Source organism: Homo sapiens, chromosome 7 (assembly GCF_000001405.40).
Source record: "Homo sapiens chromosome 7, GRCh38.p14 Primary Assembly".
Classification (NCBI taxonomy): Eukaryota; Metazoa; Chordata; class Mammalia; order Primates; family Hominidae; genus Homo; species Homo sapiens.
The window spans coordinates 94,906,200-94,926,587 of record NC_000007.14 but is presented as its reverse complement, the minus strand read 5'-3'; the positions used below and the strand labels follow the sequence as shown (position 1 = coordinate 94,926,587).

At 38.6% G+C, this 20,388-nt stretch overlaps 1 protein-coding gene across 43 annotated transcripts in view, besides 1 other annotated feature; it reads right to left on the bottom strand.

The window, feature by feature from the left end:
• The window catches only part of PPP1R9A (protein phosphatase 1 regulatory subunit 9A), a 389,180-nt gene extending 369,828 nt beyond the window's left edge, over positions 1-19,352 (bottom strand). For 23 of the 43 annotated variants that reach the window (XM_047420573.1, XM_011516381.2, XM_017012395.2 and 20 more), the window contains exons 1-2: positions 18,886-18,994; positions 15,080-16,690 (exon numbers count right to left, since the gene is read on the bottom strand). In XM_047420573.1, the coding sequence (XP_047276529.1) occupies positions 15,080-16,474 (1,395 nt within the window). In that variant the 5' untranslated portion in view covers positions 16,475-16,690; positions 18,886-18,994. Of the gene's footprint in view, positions 1-15,079; positions 16,691-17,993; positions 18,344-18,448; positions 18,636-18,885; positions 18,995-19,266 lie in introns of those variants that run through there. The other 20 variants (XM_047420584.1, XM_017012396.2, XM_047420588.1 and 17 more) reach the window with 4 other exon arrangements.
• Positions 18,177-18,937: an enhancer, noted in NCBI's record as "NANOG-H3K27ac-H3K4me1 hESC enhancer chr7:94536963-94537723 (GRCh37/hg19 assembly coordinates)". NCBI's record gives its function as "activates a minimal SCP1, AML or CMV promoter by ChIP-STARR-seq in naive H9 embryonic stem cells {active_cell/tissue: H9 hESC(naive)}" and the evidence as "EXISTENCE:reporter gene assay evidence [ECO:0000049][PMID:30033119]".

The following is a 20,388-nucleotide window of genomic DNA, read 5'->3' as shown; positions in this document are numbered from 1 at the left end:
GTTAATTAAATTTTTGATAACTTTCATTTTCAGAATATAGATACACTCACATACTCAAGTTACCAAAGGTGAGGCAAGTTACTGCAACCTCTAAATAAGTAGCTTTACAACTTTCTGATGGAATCTCAATTTTTAGATTTTCTTGCAACTAATTACAAGCTTTGGTGATCAAAGTAAATATAAAGTTAAGGCAAAATGAGTACTCTCCCCTTCAGCTTCCATAGTTATATCTCAAACAACCATATTTTAATGACTGTGGTTACTTATGAACTGTCATTACCTTACAGGGCAATAGATTGAGATTTCCCAAACGAAAGAGAGCACAACAGCTTCAGCAAGCCAGAGCAGTGGCCAGGAAAGATTTTAATCTGTAATGGAATCACCCAGCTTTCATTTGTAACTGCTAACCTGAAGGATTTTACCTATAAATAAATCATACAAGCATTATACATATAAAAATGTTAGCCCAGCAGTGGCCCACACCTGTAATCCCAGCACTTTAGAGGCTGAGGTGGGAGGATCGCTTGAGCCCAGGAGTTCCAGACTAGCCTGAGAAACACAGTGAGACTCTGTCTCTACAAAAATGGAAAAAAAATTAGCTGGGCATGGCAGCGCACGCCTGTAATCCCAGCTACTCAAGAGCCTAAGGCAGGAGAATCCCTTGAGCCCAGAGGTCGAGGCTGTAGTGAGCTGTGATCATGTCACTGCACTCCAGCCTAGGCAACAGAGTAAGACCTTGTCTCGAAATATAATAAAAATAATAATATTAATATCATCCCAACTTGGACCTTCAGGTGGGGGGAGGGGGAGAAGAGGAAGGAGAAAGGGCAGAGATGATGAACATAACAGGTTATTAACACCAACTGTGTACCTACAATGTGCCAAGCGGTGTGACAATCCTAGAGACACAACCATAAAACAAATTCCCTGCCCTCAAAATTTAAACAAACTTTCTTAAAAGATCAGGTGTCTGCAGGATCTGAATACAGGTCTGTCTGATTCCAAACATATAATCCTCTCCTACAACACACTGCCCAACAGAGGGAATCCCTTCAGCAAATTTTCTAAGAATGAGAGGGAGAGAGGAACCAACTCCCCCACTAAGACATGTGGGGGGAAAAATGAGTTTCCTCCCCGAAACAGCTTCAGAAGGGGCAATCAAAACAAGAAAGCTTGACCGTGATGGTTAATTTTATAAGTCAACTTGGCTGGGCCATGGTGCGCAGATATCTAATCAAACATTATTCTAGATGTTTCTGTGGGGGTGTTTTTAAATATAATTTGAGGAAAGCTCATTTCTTTCCATAATGTGGGTGGGCCTCATTGAAACAGTTGAAGGCCTGAATAGGACAACAGACTGACTCCCCCACAAGCAAAAAAAAAATTTTCCAGCAAAAGGCTTTTATACTTGAACTGCAATGTCAGCTCTTCCCTGAATCTCTAGCCTGCCAACCCACCCTGCAGCTTTTTGACTTGCCAGTCTCCATAATCCTGTGAGCCAACTCCTTACATTTTTCTCTGTATATATACACATCCTATTGGTTCTGTTTCTCTGGACAACTCTAATATGCCAGCTAAGTTAAATATAGGATATGGAAAAAGGATACCTTCAGAAATATTTCATATCAATATTCTGTTTATTTCAACCGTCCTCCAGCTACAGACTTTCAACCATCTGAGGGACAGGCTTCAAGGGTTCTAATGGATGAACTCTCAATAGTTCTCATTCTAGATTAAGAGTAAGAATTTCGTTTGGTAGGCCAGACGCAGTGGCACACTCCTGTAATCCCAGCACTTTGGGAGGCCGAGGTGGGTAGATCACCTGAGGTCAGGAGTTTGAGACCAGCCTGGCCAACATGGTGAAACCCCGTCTCTACGAAAAAAAGAAAAATTAAGCCAGGCATGGTGGTGCGTGCCTGTAATTCCAGCTACTCAGGAGGCTGAGGTGGGAGAATCGCTTGAACTCGGGAGACGGAAGTTGCAGTAAGCTGAGATCACACCACAGCACTCCAGCCTGGGCAACAGAGCAAGACTCCGTCTCAAAAAAATGCTAATAATGCAGTCAGAGTTAGACTCCATCTCAAAACTAAATAAATAAAGAATTGTATTAGGTAATAAGAGTCAAAACCCAGTAACTCAAACTAAAACTCTTCTGATTGCCACATCTGCAAATGGGACAATCTCCTGAGGGAGCTCCAGTTCACTAATGCTACTACTCACAGAACTCGTTATACAGAGAAGGAGCCAGCAAGATAAAAATTCCACAAGTGTCATAGTCTCTATGGAAAAACATAAGCCTCGTCTCAAACTTGATTGGGTACATGATTAACTAAAAAAAGATATCACTGCCTCAAATCATTCACAAATTTACATAAATATGCAAAATCACAACCAGTGAAATTATTTTTTTCTTGAACTCCAATTTTCTTTTTCCAGTGTAACCATTTTATAGAAAAGAGTCAAAATTTTACATGGTTTGTCTGTTAATGTTGCCTCTTTTTCTTTAAATAGTTCTTATAATTATATACAATCATCTATATATCACTACTAGAAACCCAGTATACAATAAAATATTAACAGAATTTATCAACCATATTGTAGTAAGGTTTAAGAATACTTAACAAAAAGTGATAATCCAAACACCAGATTATATTGTAAGGCAATTTAATTAGGACTTCACCAGAACTTATAAAATCCCAGAACTGCTTAAAACTGTAAGATCAGAGTAATCTGCTCATCTCATTAAACAAAAAGCAATAATTTAAACTTCCAATTTCAGAAAACTCTGCCACCCAACAAAAATATGTTTGTCATCATTTATATACTACAACATTATCTACCAAAGCTTTTCAAAGGTGGAAAATTACCCAATAGATGAGAGGAACTGACCCTTTGACTCTAACTAAAAATATAACATACTACCATATAGTCTAACCATACATCAAATGAATCTCTTTTCAACTAATATGTTTTTTAAGAGGAACAACAGGAAACCACATATTGGCTGGTGTTTTAGGACAGGAAACATATTCAAATGGATTCTGTGGAGGCCTAGAACTCAAAATCCTATTTTTAACTGGGTGTGTACATGAGTTTTTTCAAAGGATTATATATAAGCAAGATAATGAACTTGACATCTCCACTGTCTCACCTTCACAGAGAGCAAGCCTGTTGAGGCTCAATAATCTAAGACATCAGAAAGACATTATGCCACATGGGAAAATGGTTAAGTTTCCTTTAAGTACATGTTTATTATTTTTAGTAAGACTACTCATTAAAATATGTTTCACTTCAAATTCATTATACCCAGTGTTTGAAAGCATATTTTAAGTAACACATTAGAATATCATATACACAATAGTCGAACTTAAGGAAAACATCTCAGGCCTATGCAAATGCTATATAATCACAATTTAAAATGAATTGGAGGGTCTCCTTCCCCATAATACTTACAAGGTTAGCCACAAATGTGGGATCAATTTTACCAAGGTTTAAGAAATATGCACTTAATGAATTCAACTGTCAAAAGTTCATCCATTTTCTTAAAGTAACACCTTCTTCAGTGTTACATAAATTTACACTATTAAACCAAATTTTTTTTCTGTGACATGTTGTCCTCCAAATAAAAGTACATTAAAAGACTAATTATTAGAATTTGGGGCAGCATTTTAAAAAGTGTTTTTGTTAACTTCCTTATGTTGTTATTGCTGATCATTCCAATTGTGTCCCACCACTATCTTTTAATGTAATTAAAGAAGTAATACATGCTTATTGTAGAAAATTAAGTAAATTCAGAAAAGTATACATTCATTTAACATTATCACTGTTCTCTCAATCCAGAAATTACCAGAGTTGACATTTTGATGTATGTGTTTTTAATCTTTGTCCTAGCTGCAAATACACATATTTTTAAAGTAAAAATATGACAGAAATGCATATTCAGCATTTAACCAGACTTTTTACTATGAAGTATTTACATCTTTAAGTAATCTTAGAAAACATGAGTAATACAGCTTTATCCTATTATACTATATGCATTTATCGTAATGAATTTAACCATATCCCTATTACTGGATATGTGAGTTGCTTTAACTTTTACCAACTCATTTAAATAACACATTGATGTAGTCTTTACTAACAAACACTGATTTAGAAAGTAATAAAAACCACTCAGAAGTCATATCAAAAAAGCCTATAAGCACATAAAAAATCTTCAATCTCAACAATATATCAAGTAGAAATTATAACAGTTATTTTCACCTACCAAACTGAAAACTACAAAGCATATAAATAAAACTAAGTACTGGCGCAGGGATTGTGAGAAAACTATTCCAATGCAGTGCTGATTATAAACTAATACACCCTTTCTGAATAACAATTCCGGCAATAACAATATAATTCACCCTTTCTGAATTATATATAAAGGGCTTTAAAATAATTTTATTTTTAATTAATTTAAATATAATTTAATAAAATTATAAATAATATTATAAATTAATAAAATTATATTTTTTTAGGAATCTATCCTAAATAATAGGTAATTCTAGACGCTAAGCAAGAAACTGTATATAATACAGATATGAAAATCATAGATTTCGGGCCCAGCCCTTCTTTTTCTTTTTTGAAACAGGGTCTTGCTCTGTTGCCCAGGCTGGAGTGTGGTGGCTCAATCACAGCTCACTGCAGCCTCAATCTTCCAGCCAGCCTTTATTTTTCAAAAGACTTACTTACAGGTTTGTTTGTTTTAGTGCTCAGTGCTCAATGATAAGATTTCTAAAAGGAAATAGATGCTCTGGACATAGAATATTATATAACACCTGGTGTATAATTTAAATTACTGTATTTTATTATTCCACCTACAGAATAAACTTCTAAAAATAAACACATTCTAGGTAATGGTAGATAAGGTGTCATTCAAACATCCTACAATAAGTTTTGCCTTTCCCCCTGAGAAATGGGTTATTTAAAAAAATAATAATTTTATACATATATAATATCAATTAACAATGAAAAGTGCAAATTTATGTCTTTCTCTTCCTTTACAAAACAATTTTGCACATCAATTTTACCCAAAACAAGTACTTCGTAAAGGAATCCATCAAAATAACACTACTCAAAAACAGATCTTTTTTTTTTTTTTTGAGCCGGAGTCTAGCTCTGTCGCCCAGGCTGGAGTGCAGTGGCGCCCTCTCAGCTCACTGCAACTTCCGCCTCCCGGGTTCACGCCATTCTCCTGCCTCAGCCTCCCGAGTAGCTGGGACTACAGGCGCCCGCAACCACGCCCAGCTAATTTTTTTGTATTTTTAGTAGAGAGGGGTTTTCACAGTGTTCGCCAGGATGGTCTCGATTTCCTGACCTCGTGATCCGCCCGCCACAGCCTCCCAAAGTGTTGGAATTACAGGCGTGAGCCACCGCGCCCGGCCTCAAAAACAGATCTTAAAAACTAACCAATAAACCTGCTTTTCCCTCTCCTCTGTGGACCCTAACCATGAAAAGAAAACTCTTCACAAGCCTGAAAAGGTACCTCTGACTGTGAGTACTATTTAAGATTGTTATATTGAAGATTAGACAATTTTCTGATATGAATGTAGCCTCCATGAGGCTGTATACTTACATATTTTTAAAAGAGGAGGAGTAAAAAGAAATTTTTGGAGGAGAAATCCGAGGTGAATAAAAGAGAAAAGACCATCTTACTATACAGCAACAGACTCAACATGCAGGTCACTCAGTTTCATAGGGTCATGCCAGTTCAAAGGCATCAAGACAGAAATACCAAAGACCTAATCCGCAAGATTCTCACTGCTTATTCCTGTAAAGAAACCTTCATGGTCATGACTCTATTCACCTTTTTGACCCTTGCCAACCACTCTATGTCCGAATCTAGCCCTATATATTTCAACTGGCATGGAAAACAACTTGGAAGATTAGCTTTCCCCGGCACAAAACTCATCTGACTTATAAAAGAGGGCAGGAGACTAACAGATCTGTGAGCAGTTTCATTTACCATTATCCATAAATACTTGGTGAACAGTTTTAACTCCACAAATACTTTTTAAAAATACCAATGAAATAGATTAAGTAAGCAAAGAACAAAACTTTCCTCCTAAAATATAAAATTTCCTGATATCTTCATACTGTATTTCGCTGTCTTCTTTGTAAGGATATGTGCATGAGAAAGAGTAAGTTAGGCTGAAAACCGGGAACTGTAAAAAAAAAAAAAATTATCAATATTTCAATCATGTTGAACTGTGCTATGAAGCTATTTCCAGAGCAAAAGTGAGTGAAGCAATTAATATGTCAGCAACTATATTACAAAACATTTCTTTCTTTATTCTTAGTTTCCTCAGCAGGGTGTTTTAACATATAGTTAAACCCATACTTTCAAAAGTCAAGTTGCTCTAAAAATCCACTCTATAAAATTGTGCTCCCATGGACTTAATATTTTACTCATTTTAAGGTTTCTACTATAATCTATAGAATTATTGTTCTCAAGAACAATTTAACATAAATTTTTCATTTTGATATTTCAACAAAAGATGTCCAGAATTTTCTCTTTGAAATCATAGCACAAATATTTATGATTATGGTATAGTACAAATATGTTTAAGACACAGAGAATTACAGGATGGTAAAGCCGAGAAACAATCTTAGTGATAAATTACAAGTAAGACAGCCTCAATTACAGGTAAGAAATTCAAGGCTTCAAGAGGCACACTTGTCCAACCTGACAGAATATCAAGTACCTCTCGATGTTACCATTATTATTACTAGTTAATGATATTTAATAGTAATATAGACTATATAGTAATATGCTCCAACAGACAATACATAGTAAACTAAATAAATATCTGCTTCAAATCACTCATCTTATAGATGGTTACAGTACAGATAATAGCATGTAGGCACAGGAAATCTATATCGAAATATTGAAGGATGAGAAAAAATTTTAAAGTAGTGAAGCTGTCCGTGAACAATTCCAATCAAAGTAAAAGAATAAGGAAAGTGACAATATAAGAGAAGTAGGATAGAAATAAGCATCAGATTATTAGAAAAGGAACAGGATTCCTTCACGCTATAAAAAGACCAATGTAAAGATGAAACTCAGCATCAATGCCACTTGTACCTTTAAAGAAACCCTATGTTGGCAGGACATGGTGGCTCACACCTACAATCCCAGCATTTTGGGAGGGTGAGGCAAGAGGGTCACTTGAGCCCAGGAGTTCAAGACCAGCCTAGACAATATAGCAAGACCCTGAATCTACAAAAAAAAAAAAAAAAAAAAAAAATGTAATTATCCAGGCACTGTGGCACACACCTGTAGTCCCAGCTACTTGGGAGGCTGGGGCAGGAAGATCCCTTGTGCGCAGGAGTTCAAGGCTGCAGTGAGCTTTGATCGTGCCACTGAACTCCAGCCTGAGCAACAGGGCAAGACCCTGTCTCTAAAAGGAAATAAAGAAACCCTATGCTGAATCAAACACTCATGCTTCATGTGTAGCAATTTTAGATTACATTAAGAGAAGTGCGGTGTCCCACGCAAGGGAGTTGTTCAGCCATCCTCTCAGCCACATAAACCTATTCTTCCTCAGTTATACATTTCATTCTTCTTGAATCCTACTGTCTCCTCAGCTTCATGTGTTCTTCCTCTCTATGAAACACATAAAATGGCAGATAGCATTTGTTGCTCCCACATCATGCCACTTAACTTTTAGACCATATCACCAACCAGAAGAAAATTCTTTATGCCATTGCTCTCTAGACTTTCCTGTAGTGTGCTATCCTTTTGATATCTTAAATTTAATATATTCCAAGCCATACTCCTATATTCTTCTTCAAGTCTCCTATATTCTTTTTTAAAAGCATTTGTAAGAAATGTCCAGAAGTAAGTCTACAGAAAAAGCAAGTCAATTACTGCTTTCCAGAGGATGAAGAAGGAAGGGGAATTGGGAATGACAATTCACAGACACAGGGTCTCTTTCTAGGATGATGAAAAAGTTCTAGAATCAGATAAAAGTGATGGCTGCACAACACTGTGAATATACTAAAAACCACTGAATTGTGCACTTCAAAGTGGTGAACTTTGTTACCTGAATTTTATCTTAATAAAAAATTGCAAATTAAAATTAAATAAAAAGAAGAGTGAGTGCACCACCTCCCTACACACACCAGCATGCCCCTCCTTCTAACTTTCCTTTTACCTTCCAAAGTAATAAACTCTCCATCGGTAGAATTATTCAAGCAGAAGCTGAAACATCATCTGTCAGGAGTATGCTACTGAAGGGCTTCCTGAAGTGACTGGGAAATGACGCTAGATTACCTTCAAGTATATTTCATCTCTAAATGTCTATGTCACAAACTAAAGAGATGAGAACCAGGAGAAAACTGTAAAAGTGACCAGAAGAAAAACTATAAAGCATAACTTGAAAAGTTTTCTTCCTTTTCAAAACCATAGCTATAGAATATAATGAAGCAAAAGAACAAAAAGAAAATAGGTCCAAATGAGAGCATAGAAAATCAAGAAAAATATCAGGTAAATTAGATAACAGCATAAAAAGCAACAATCTATAGTAATGTTTGTTTTGTTTATACAGAATTTATCCCACATCTAACTATATTTCTCTATGAAAATTCCTAAACTTGTTTTCAAGTGGTAGAGAAAGTGTTAGAAAAAAATCTAATGCAGATGAGATTTCAATCAAATTACTTGTAATGGGCATATTAACTGGGTTAACAAGGTAAACGACACATGGATAACATAACACAAAGTGATTTTCCTCCAAATTTGGCATCTTATCTTTCAAGTACATGAACCCAACAATTAGTGTCATTTGTGAGAAAGTTTAGAGGGAACACAAAGTATGTATGATCCAAAAAGCAAGCAACTGCTGGGCACAGTGGCTCATGCCTTTAATCTCAGCACTTCGGGAGGCCAAGGCAGGAGGGTCGCTTGAACCCAGGAGTTCAAGACAAGCCTAGACAACATAGTGAGACTTCATCTCTACAAAAAAAAAAAAAATAATAACAGGCATGGTGGCGCTTGCCTGTAGTCCTAGCTGCATGGGAGGCTGAGGCAGGAGAATTACTTGTGCCCCAGAGGTCAGGGCTGCAGTGAGCCATGACTGCATCACTGCACTACAGCCAGGGTGACAGAGCAAGACCTTGTCTCAAAAAAAATTAATTAAATTAACAAAAAACAAGAAACTTTAAATATTTCTATTACAAATAAATACCAGTAAACATCTGAAATAATCTGCTGTCAAAAGAATCCCTTTTTAAACACTAAATGATCACTGTTCAGTTTAAAAGTATAGCTATACCTCTGGATTTTAGAAAAGGGGTTCATTCAACAAATCTTCATTATTTGATTTTACAAAGTATATTAAAATATTTGACATATTTCATTTACCTGGTTATGAAGCATAGGTCATAAAACATAAAAATTTAAAAGGAAATCCAATTTAAATGTTATACCATCGGCTGGGCACAGTGGTTCACGCCTATAATCTCAGCACTTTGGGAGGCCAACGCGGTCAGATCACTTGAGGTCAGGAGTTCGAGACTAGCCTGGCCAACATGGTAAAAACCCTGTCTCTACTAAAAATATAAAAATTAGTCTGGAATAGTTGTGCATGCCTGTTGTCCCAGCTACTCAGAGGGCTGAGGCCTGAGAATCTCTTGAACCCAGGAGGTGGAGGTTTCAGTGAGCTGAGATCGTGCCACTGCACTCCAACCTGGGTGACAGAGCAAAGCTCCCTCTCAAAAAACAAAAAACAAAAAACAAACAAAAAAAAAGTTGTACCATCAAAGTTATCCAAGAAAAGCAAGTTAAATCATATGACCATTCTTATACTAAGTTTATTAATTTACACTTGCAAAAGAATGAAAGAAATGAAATTTCTGATTCCATTAAAAACTTCTTCCTCCCAACTTTTTATAACTAAAAACTTAAACCACACAAAGAGCCTAGGATGTGACTTTTTAATGACCCAAATGCCTTGAGTTAAGGATAATAATCCACTTTGGGATCCAGAAACAGAGTATTCATGCACTTTACAAGATTATACCTTATTTCATCTTCAGAGAATATTATTCCACCCAACCAGATATAGCAGCCCATCTGGAAAGGAAATTTATTACATGTTGCTTCCCTAACATGCTATGGCCAGCCACTTTCAGAAGCCAGAAGATTGTACTTCAAATTCATATTCCAAAGAGTGATCTCTTGATCAGCGGCATCGGCACCACTTGAGAGCTTGTTAGAAATGTAAAATCTAAGGTTCCCCTCCAGACATACTGTTAACGTGGTTTTCCTGTATTATTTCAGAATATGAAATTCTATTATAGAGGTAAACAAAACTAATGGGATGGATGAAACACTTAAGAAGTGATAATCATAGATGGTAAATAAACTAACAACTTATGAGACAGAGGCAACACTCAGGCTGGGCCAAGTATTGATAATGAGAATGCAAGCTGGTGAAATGAAGGCAGTCAGCAGATGCGTAATAAATAGGTAAGCTGGGAGTAAGACATGACAACAATAAAATAAATAGAAATTATGATAAAATGAATGAGATTTACTTATAGACAAAAAGCAGTGGAAATACCAAGTCACCATTATGCCTGGACTGATAGCTACATTACTTCCATATCAGTCATCTACTGAAGACACCAAGGATGGTCCCATGGCTCATCAGCAGGCAAACTAGCAAAGCTACGGCTGTACCTAAGTGTATTTGTCACATCTCTTCAACAGAACAAGTGTGTATCATCGACCCAGGAAATCATTAGTCTATGGAGTCTTGGCTCAAACATCAGCTCTGGTCCTCATAACCACATCATTAATGGGGAAGGGTTATGTGAAAGAAAGATGGGACATAGGAACATTGTTTATCCAGGACAGGTAGCGTGGTCCTTCCAACCTGGTTTGAACCTGAAGTGTGTTAACTTACTCCATAGCTTTCCTCTTGCTTCTGGATTTGTGTTTAACTGGTTTGGTAAATCATGTGATTCAAGCATTTTAATTTGTTTTCTGAGTCTTCTATTCCATAACCTCTGAGATAGCTTGCCTGCTGGTGTACTTGTAGCTCAACCATTGTATCAAGGTAATTTCCCATAGAATACCTACTGAATCAGAATCTTGATGCTAACAAGATCTCCCAAGTGATTCATATGCATATTAAAGTTTAAGAAGCACTGACAAAACTGTTATAAAGGAAGCCTCCGCAAAGACAAAAAGTTGGATCTCAACAGAACTATTCCCTGAAAACCATCCTGAACAAAAAAACTTCATATATCCATGAATGCCCTAACTATGACTCGGAGCCCCCAAAAAGGGAGAGAATACAAGAAGATCCATTTTCAACAACTATCATGTAAGGTTTGAAGAAGCTCTGGTGCCCTTGCTGATTATTTGAATTCTAATCCTGTAAAGCTCCATATGATTTGAGAAAACACAAAATATAGCACAATGTACCTCAATATTAACTCTGCAATATCCTTCTTACTGTGAGTTAGAAAAATCTTTTTCAGATATGCTGTTTCAAGAATAACAATCCATTGTAACACAATAGTATTTGAGGGGAAAAAAAAATACCAATCCAAAGGACATAAGAAACAGAGAAAGGTTGTGACTTCCTTAATGAGGCTGCAGCAACCTTAGAAAGATCATCAAAGCACAGAGTTGGGAACAGCCTGAGAGCTTCCTTAATGGGCTGTACACGTCCCACCGACCAGCAGCTCCTTACTTCATCAGCTCCTCATTTTATGTATTTGTTGTATTTGTTATATTTGCATTGTCCCTGACACATATTAGGGGCTCCATAAATGTTCTGAATTAGTAGAAAAAAATGACATGTCACCCTCTCTTGTTTTGATTCATCTAAGACAAATTTACTTTAATTCAATCCTTTCATTTTGAAAAATTCCTGAAAATGAAGGCATAATTCCATCTCGAATTAGCATGGTCCATAACATTCTCCCATGCCATATCTCAAAGTTGGATTTTAATTTGCTATTATTAATCCCATTCTAATATTTCATGACCCTATGAAACATAACAATCTATCTAATAAGAAATAACTGTCTGTGAAAGATAGGAAAGTCATACTAACTGATGGCTGGCAATACAGTCTGACCATTTTTAAAAATCAAGGTATATGTACAAGTACAAGGTATATGCTACACAGGAAAGATCAACTATTATTCTGATGTTTTTCTAAGTCCAGATTTAAGACATCTTATGGAAATATCTATGTAAAACATCTATAAAAAGAACTGAAGTAGTCACTGAGGACAATATTACACATACAAAGATGATAAATAAGATCTATAACAAAAAACTAAAGGTGCTAGGAATTTTTAACCTAGTACAGAATAAAGTGACAGCCAGGAAAAGAATGTAAAAGTTCTAAAAATCATTTATTTAAAGAATACATTCCCTGTTGCTTCTTTAAGAGGAAGTATGTTTAAGCTTCAAAGGAAAAGACTGAGGTTAGGAATTGCAACTTCCCATTCCATAAATAAAGTTTTATGAAAAGAATAAAGAAACACAGATAGAAAATGGTTGCATGTATTCCTTTCCAAATAATCTATCAAATCCCTTTCACTATATGCATTTAGTACAACCAAGTGCCACTAAAGGACTCACAGGACATTAAAAATTTTGGCATAGTTTTTTATACTGTTTTTTATGGATTTTAAATACAATGTGTTTAAGAATTGACTCTACAAACTCACAGAGGAAAGGGGTAACCTTACAGATTTTTGTGTCTTCTTCAGCTAACAGCATGAGAGAACACACATGATAAGCCTTCAATAAATACTTTAATTGGATCTAATAAGGTATTACCACCCTCTGCAGCAAAAAAAATCTTAATTGGAGAATAACCTAAACACTATGGCCACCACCATGACCAGTAGAAAGCAGCTCTCAAATTTTCCAAGTGAATCCACTTGCATATTTAACAATGGAAGCAGCAAGAAAGAGTAATTGTGTTATTCATTACAAAGGGCTAAGAATGAATCTTCTGTTTGCAAACTTAATCCACTCCAAGAAGTCCTGTTAACTGCCCAATCAAATGCAATACATTATCTTTGTTTCACAAGTCTTATGCTTGATCTAATTTGTTTTAGAAATCTTATTCTTGATGAAATGCATTAAATGTAGGTAATGTTTCATTATTTGCTAGATAAAATTGTCATTATATGAAAATTAAGAGGCAAAATACTTATTGTTATAAGCAATCATAGCACAAATTAGTTGAACTTCAAAATATCATTCCCAAAAAGCTGGTTTGTTCACATATAAACAGACACATTTCAATGATAAATCCTTTAAAATCCATTAAACCAACTAGTGCACAGTTATGTTTTGTGCAGCACAGGACCCAAATACAGGCTGGTGTCCCACTTGGTTGACTGGGTAGTGGTCTACTTGATAAATTTTCATAAGCTGCTATCCCTTGTATTAAAAAGTTAGTCACTGGGTTTAACAACTCCTTGAAGAGTTCATTTCAGTTATTCCTGCCTTTCTCAATGTGAAACGATTTAATCTTATTGCTTTCTTCCTAAAGGGTAGAAAGATGATGTTCAAGGGGGATGCGAATGGCAAAGTTTAGGAGCTCACTGGATAGGCTTGGGGGAAAGGCACCTTTAAAGACCATCTAGAGTAGGGCAGTGGGGGTTGGGGAGGAATAGGAAGGCAGGAGGAGATAATCACAAAGGAAGGTGGTAAAGCACTGCAAAGAAACTTACTTTCAAACTGAATTGACATCTGTAGTTTATTTTAAACTACAGTTTAACTTAACATGACCCATTCTGACCCAGAACTTCTGCCTTACACTAATAAAATGAAAGTCTGCCTGCTAACATCTGTAAATAATTTCATAGATTATTACTTTATTTCAGAATAGTATTTCATAATCAGAACAATGTCAGATTTCTCTTTAAATATTTCTATGTAAATTTATATTTTAGAGCCTTATATGGAAGGTCCCAAAATGAAAATAACAGACAGTGATTTTAGATTTTGAGGAGAAAATTTACAGGAATATATCAAATTCCAAGTCTATCATATATACACACTGTGTAAGCTAGAAGCCCCTAGAATGTGGTCTAAAACTACACATTCTGCCACCATAACCTTCCAGATTCCCCAAGGAGAGCATGCCAGCATCTCAGGACTGAGCTGTGGGCAAGTACACTTTGAAAAAGCACCCCAGGAGATTCTGGTACTCAACCAACCACCTCCTGCCCCTATTGCCATTATCCACTAATAACATTCTACCACCCACTGCTGATGTACTTTGTGCTATTCTTCCATACCAAATGTTAACTAAGTGAAGTCATTAGAGCATGTGAATTCCATTGGCATTTATCCAGTTTTTAAGAGGTAAAAATAAATCCATGAATGGCAAATCAATGTTATTTCTTTCAAAAAATTCATTTTAAAGCTATGTAACAAATTTTGAACTCAGACTGTTTACAGTCAAAGCTTTTCAAAGTATTTAAGTCAGCTAATATATTTCCATAAATTAAATTTTCACCACCAACTAGCAGTACCCCCCAAAAAAAGTTCCAACAAAATTCCTCACAATCCACTTACACTTAATAACTCAGATTTTTTTAAGAAAGTAAATCGAATATTATTCCCAGATTACCAAAACTCTCCCATTGTACATTATACTTCATACCTTAAAGTGTGTACATTCAGAAAATATTATTTATGAATAATTTTAGGTAAAACTAAAGTAATTACATTTCAAACTAACACTCCTGGTTTTCAGTACTCACAATACTCATACTCCAGTTCATTGGAACGTATCTCACAATTCCCGAACTTCTTCAGCTTTAATATTACTCACTATTGATGTATGCCATTATAAAGCACATTTAAGAAATGTAATTGATATCTCTCAAACTCTGAACTTTTAAAATCACCTGACAACAGGTGATTTTAAAGGTATCAACAATCTTGAATCCCTTACAAAAACTCCTACTAGTTGTCAAGTCTATTCTACATACAATTAGGCCCTAGTACTAAAAACAAATTTAGAAAACAAAATGGAGAAAACACACTTACCTTAATAGGAGCACTACTAAACTTAATTTTCCTATTTGCTGGGATTTCTTCTTCTTCTGGCAATCCAACAATTTCCGAGTACTCCATATCAGGCTGATAGTAACTGTTCTCATCACTATCTTCCTCCTCATCCTGCTCAGTGCCTGTCTCTCCCCAGTCTGAATTATACCTGGATCTCACCCTATACACATTATAGTCACTGTGCATGTACACATGGGAACCATCAAAATTATTTGAATCTTCAGGTACTTCTTTTCCACAACTGGATGCAGAAGCATCAGGAGAGGTGAAATCACCACCTGCAAGTTCTTTCCTCTGTTGCTTTGCTGCCTCCCTTCCAACCAAATTAGCTTCAGCATCTTCTAACAGTTGGCTTTGTGGTGAAGGGATTTCGGACTTTGGCATTGCCTTACTTTCAGCACAAGGTTCTTCAGGACCATCTTTGTCAATGCTGTCGGGAGTCTGTTGATTAGATGTGGAGTCCTCGGGTTCCTTGCTCTGCTGGATCTCTTCACCAGGTATCGAAGCTAGAGAGGTACTTTTAGAAGCCACTTCTGGTACTGGAGTTGCATTACTCTTGTGAGCATCCTCTGTATCAACACCTCGCTTGTTTGAAGGAGGCCAGGAATTAGAATCCTTCAGGTGACCAAATGTGTCAAGATTTGTAACAGTAACAGATGGTAAATTCAAGGGATAATGCCCAGTCACTGAGTATTCATTGTTTTCAGCCTTCTCAGAAATGATGGCACTGGGAGAATCAGTGTTCTCAAATACTGCACTCAGTTGACTCACAGTTGGGGAGACAGCCTCAGTTCGGGAGCTAAGGCTGTCCAAGGAATCAGTACTGCCTCTGTTGGACTTGGAACCTCCCCATTCATCCTGAGGTTCACTCCCTCCAGCTTTCTCTTTCTTTGGGGAATAGCGGTTGTTCTGTCCTGATTCATGCACACTTCTCTCAAACATCTTTCGAGTCTCAGTGAACTTGGAATATGAAGGGCCATCGTACATAGTGTCAAATCTACTAATTCGTTCAGAAACAGAAGACTCCAACTTAACAACTGAGCCATCTGTTTTTTCCAGAAATTCTTTGGGCTTCATTCTTCTCTGAGGAGATGAATGTCCACCTTTCCCCCTTGTTTTGGCAATGACTGCAGCATTCTCGTTGGGTTCCATACCCATCTGCATAAATAGGTTTTTAATTCTGTTGACATTGGAGCCATATTTCCTCCCCCTGCTCTGCTGGGAGCCCTCACCTTCTTTTGTTTTTTGTTCCCCATCTGACTTGGGTTTGTCAAAGGTACTTTTCAGTGCCTGAAACTCAGTTCGATATGCATTCCTGTGAGGAGAGGCACTTCTGAGAGTGGTTCGTTCACCTGAAGACTCAGTTTTCAACATTTTCACTTCAGGGGTGAAAAGCCAATGTTCATAATGATCAAAGAAAAAAACCAAAAACCAAGATACCTCTCTTCTCTAATCACCAGTATTGGGTCAAGAAAAGTACCTCTCAAATGGTATACGGTGTCAGTGATCGTCCCAACAGGTGTATTAGGAACTTAGTCACAGTCAAGAGTTACACAGAATGATTTTTTCAAAGCAAGACTAGAGGTTCATCTGCAATAGAAAAGAATGAATTTCTGAATTCATTTACTTATTTGAATTTATGTCTAGTCAAATAACATACATTTTTTTTTCCAAATGGCTTAGCCACGTGGCAAACAGAAGAGATTACTCATTGAAATGGGAAGTTAAAAGTCAAAAAGTTATCATTCTGATTGGTCTTTGGTAAAAAAAAAAAAAAAAAAGTTCCAAACACAATTTGGAGATACCTATCAAAATCTCACACACACACAAACACATACACACACTCACAAATACAAGCTACACATAAGTATATTTGAAAGCAATACTTTAGCCCAAGTTTTGGTCGCTTTTGTGAATGCCCTTTAAAAAGAAACCAGCAGTTCATCGATCTTTAAGAAATCATCAAACTGTCCAGAAAATCAACTTCATTTAGGATTCTCCACAATTAGGTAGAACTTATTCTTTCTAAGTACAATTAAGTTTGGAATCTATGTTTACAAACTCCAAAACATGCCTACAGCGGCATATTTTACTTTTTTTGGTCCAATGTTCTCATCTACAGCATCCCCAAAGCAATACTAATGCAATTTCAGATCAAAACAAGGAGAAAAAAAGTTCCTGAATAGCAATAAGTTTCACTAAGTTCAGTTATAACAAGTATTTGGAAGTTTCCTAACAGTGGTTATTATTAATTATGGAGTGGGATGCAGACTACCAAGGGAATAAATGCGTAAGAATGTGACAATCAGAAAGCAAATATACTGTGACACCCCTTTTCACAGCCCTGATTTGTTTATTCTTTCTTGCCTCTAACTTACTACAGTTCAACACGCAACGCAATGCATGCTTGCTGGTCTCTTTAAGCCCACAGCAGGATTTTATATCAATAAGCCAGCAATCAAATACTTCAAGATATGCTGAGGAGCAGACAATGCAGGCAGTTCTAAAGATTTTTCATTTTATTTTTGTTTTGTTTTGATATTAGACCGAGCCACATCACCCTCACGCACAATCAGCTGAGGAGGCACACACTTTCACTTAAACCGTCTCCAAACTCGGCTCCTGGCCCAGCACGCATGCATGGCCCATGCAGACAAACAAGAAAGGCTTTGGAGTGTGGTGCCTGTTTTTTTCTTTTTTTGTAAAGCATCGACAATCTCCTTTTACCCTGACCATTCTTTTTAAAGCCACAAACACCCTCCCCTCTCCCCTACACACACCCCCCATTCCCTCCCCCGCCAATTCCAACCCAAGGAGGCGGGGGCGGGGGAGATGGGGCCGCCGGGGGATTCAAAACCTGCCCTCACAAAAGACAAACATAAATAACACCAACTTGAGAGGCAGCCGATTCCCAAGCCCGGTTCGGGACGCAATCCCTCGGCCCTGGGGCAGGACCGGGAGAGCAGGTGACGCCAAGCGCTATGGTAGGAGGTCGCAGTCTAGCTTTGTGCCAAGAAGCACCTGAAGTCCTAACACATTGGCTGCAGCTCCCGGCGGCTGCCAGGCGGATCCCACTGTGACACGGAGAGAGACGAGCTCCCTGGCCACATTTAAAAAAATAGAAAAGAAAAAAAATTACAGGGTAATGAAAATAAATCCCTTTGTTTTTCCTCCCAATGTGCCAGGAAACAATAGATCCCACTGATAATGCCTCCGATCTTCAACCTATTGCTCCTCCACCACAACCCACCCCCACCCCCAGCCTGCAACTCAGCCTTTGTACAAGCCGATTTTTTCCTCCTCTCCACCCTCCCCAACTCCTCGCCCCGCGCTCAGCCTCCCCCTTACCCGAGCGGGAGCGCCGCGGGCGGGGAGGGTCGGGCCGCCGCGGCTCCCACCCCCTCCTCGCAGGCGCCCCCCGCCCCACGGTGGACGCGGCGGCTCGGCTCGGCGCCGGCCCGCTGGGTACACCGCAACCCGCTCCTCACGGCGCAGCGCGTAGGGCGGCTGCGGCGGCCGCTTCCACTCGCGCGTCGGCCCCCAGGCGCTCCCTGCCCGCGGCGGGCGGCCCCGGGAGGCGCGCTGCGCTCCCCAACGCCATTGCGGGCGGGCGGCGGCCCGAGCAGCGACGCGCCCGCACGCTCGGGCCGGCCTGGGGCCAGGGGTGCCGGCCGGGGAAGGGGTTTGGCCCACGTGCGGTCGCCACGCCGGGCCGTTTCGGCGGCCGCGGTGTAATGGAGGAGAGGCCGCGGGGGTGAGGAAGGCCGGGGTAACAGGTGCCTCACCTCGGCTGATGGGATTAACTCTAGGGCCGCAGAGAGAGGGAGCCCGGCAGCAAAATCCCGGGAGAGGGAGAGAGAGGGAGCCTCTGGCGGCCAAGGAAGGGCGAAAAGCACCGGCCCGAGGCGAGGCCGCCCCACCCCCTCGGCCGTGGGCGAGGGGCCTCTCCGGCCTGGGGCAAGGCCCCTTCCTGTTCGGGTGTTGGCTCCGGAACTTGGTTCTGGGGCTGACCGCTGCTGGGGCCCCACTTAGTCTGAGTCTGCAGTTAACTCCGTGACCCCAAGGCATCCAAGTCCCAGGCCACTCTGCTGACCTGGAAGGCCAAGACGTAGGCCCAAGTCTGGTGTGGCCTTCACCTAAGCCACTGCGCCTGGCCTACTACTCACCTTGACCTTAAGATCTCACTGCCAAAGAGAAAGGGATGAGGAGGTCTTCTACCTTTCCTGTCTAGGGAGAGTTTTTCAGCTCACTCCCCCCCGAACCCCGCCCTTTTCTAAAGGCTCAGTACAACCTCTTACACCCCCAAGTACCGGAAGTGTTACCACCTTCCTGCAAGATATAAAACTGATCATGACTGTCAATACAGATGTTTAAACCAATCCTTCCAAAAAGCCTAGGGAGCAGGAACTCTTAAAAAATAATTTTTCAAGAAGGTAAAAACATGACAATGGTAGAAATATAAAATGAACATTGGTCAAAATTTTTATAACTCTTTTAATTAGGAAGGGAACCCCAGCAAGATACTGCAACCCATTCACGTGAGACTGTGAAGAGTAGACATAGAGGCAAGAAGAGGCAAATCTGCTTACTATTCTATAGAGCACTGAAATGTAATGTTTATTATTATCTGCTTTACAGGGCGGTAACCAGTTGTATCTGTAAAGTAACAAATTTGCATTCTGTAGATAAAACTCATTTACATTACCAAACGTTTCTACAGCTTACTGAGTAGTAAAATAGCCTAGTGAAAGTCAGTCTAAGTAAGGTGCAGACGACTGTAAATTTCACAACACTCCGGAGTCCTGTAGATAACATCCAGCATTCCATTGAAAGGACAAACAGTAATCTTTTGCTCATTTCAAAGTCTTTCACAAGTTTTCCCAACATAACTATTTTTAGCCCCATTTCACTGATGGAAAAACTAAGGTTTAGGTTTTGTAACTTACCCGCTTCTTTATTGGCTATTAATAGTAAATGATTATGGCTGAATATGAACCCAGGCAAGTCCGTACACAAATTCTATATACTCTGGGAGCAAAATCTTTTCATTTCAGAAGGATTTTGTAACTACTCAATACTCAGTTCTATGTATTTTTTAATTTTAAGCAGCAAGGGCTTTTTTTTCCTTTAAGCATCACCAAATTCTGGGTCCTTTCCCAAGAAATTGGCATTCTCTGTCTACGAAGTGGATGTCACTTCTATAAGCATAAACAGATGTAACAGGCAATGTGAGGGGGCTGTGGTTCCAGGCTCCACTTTTGGAAAGAACATTTCTGCTGTCTGGGATA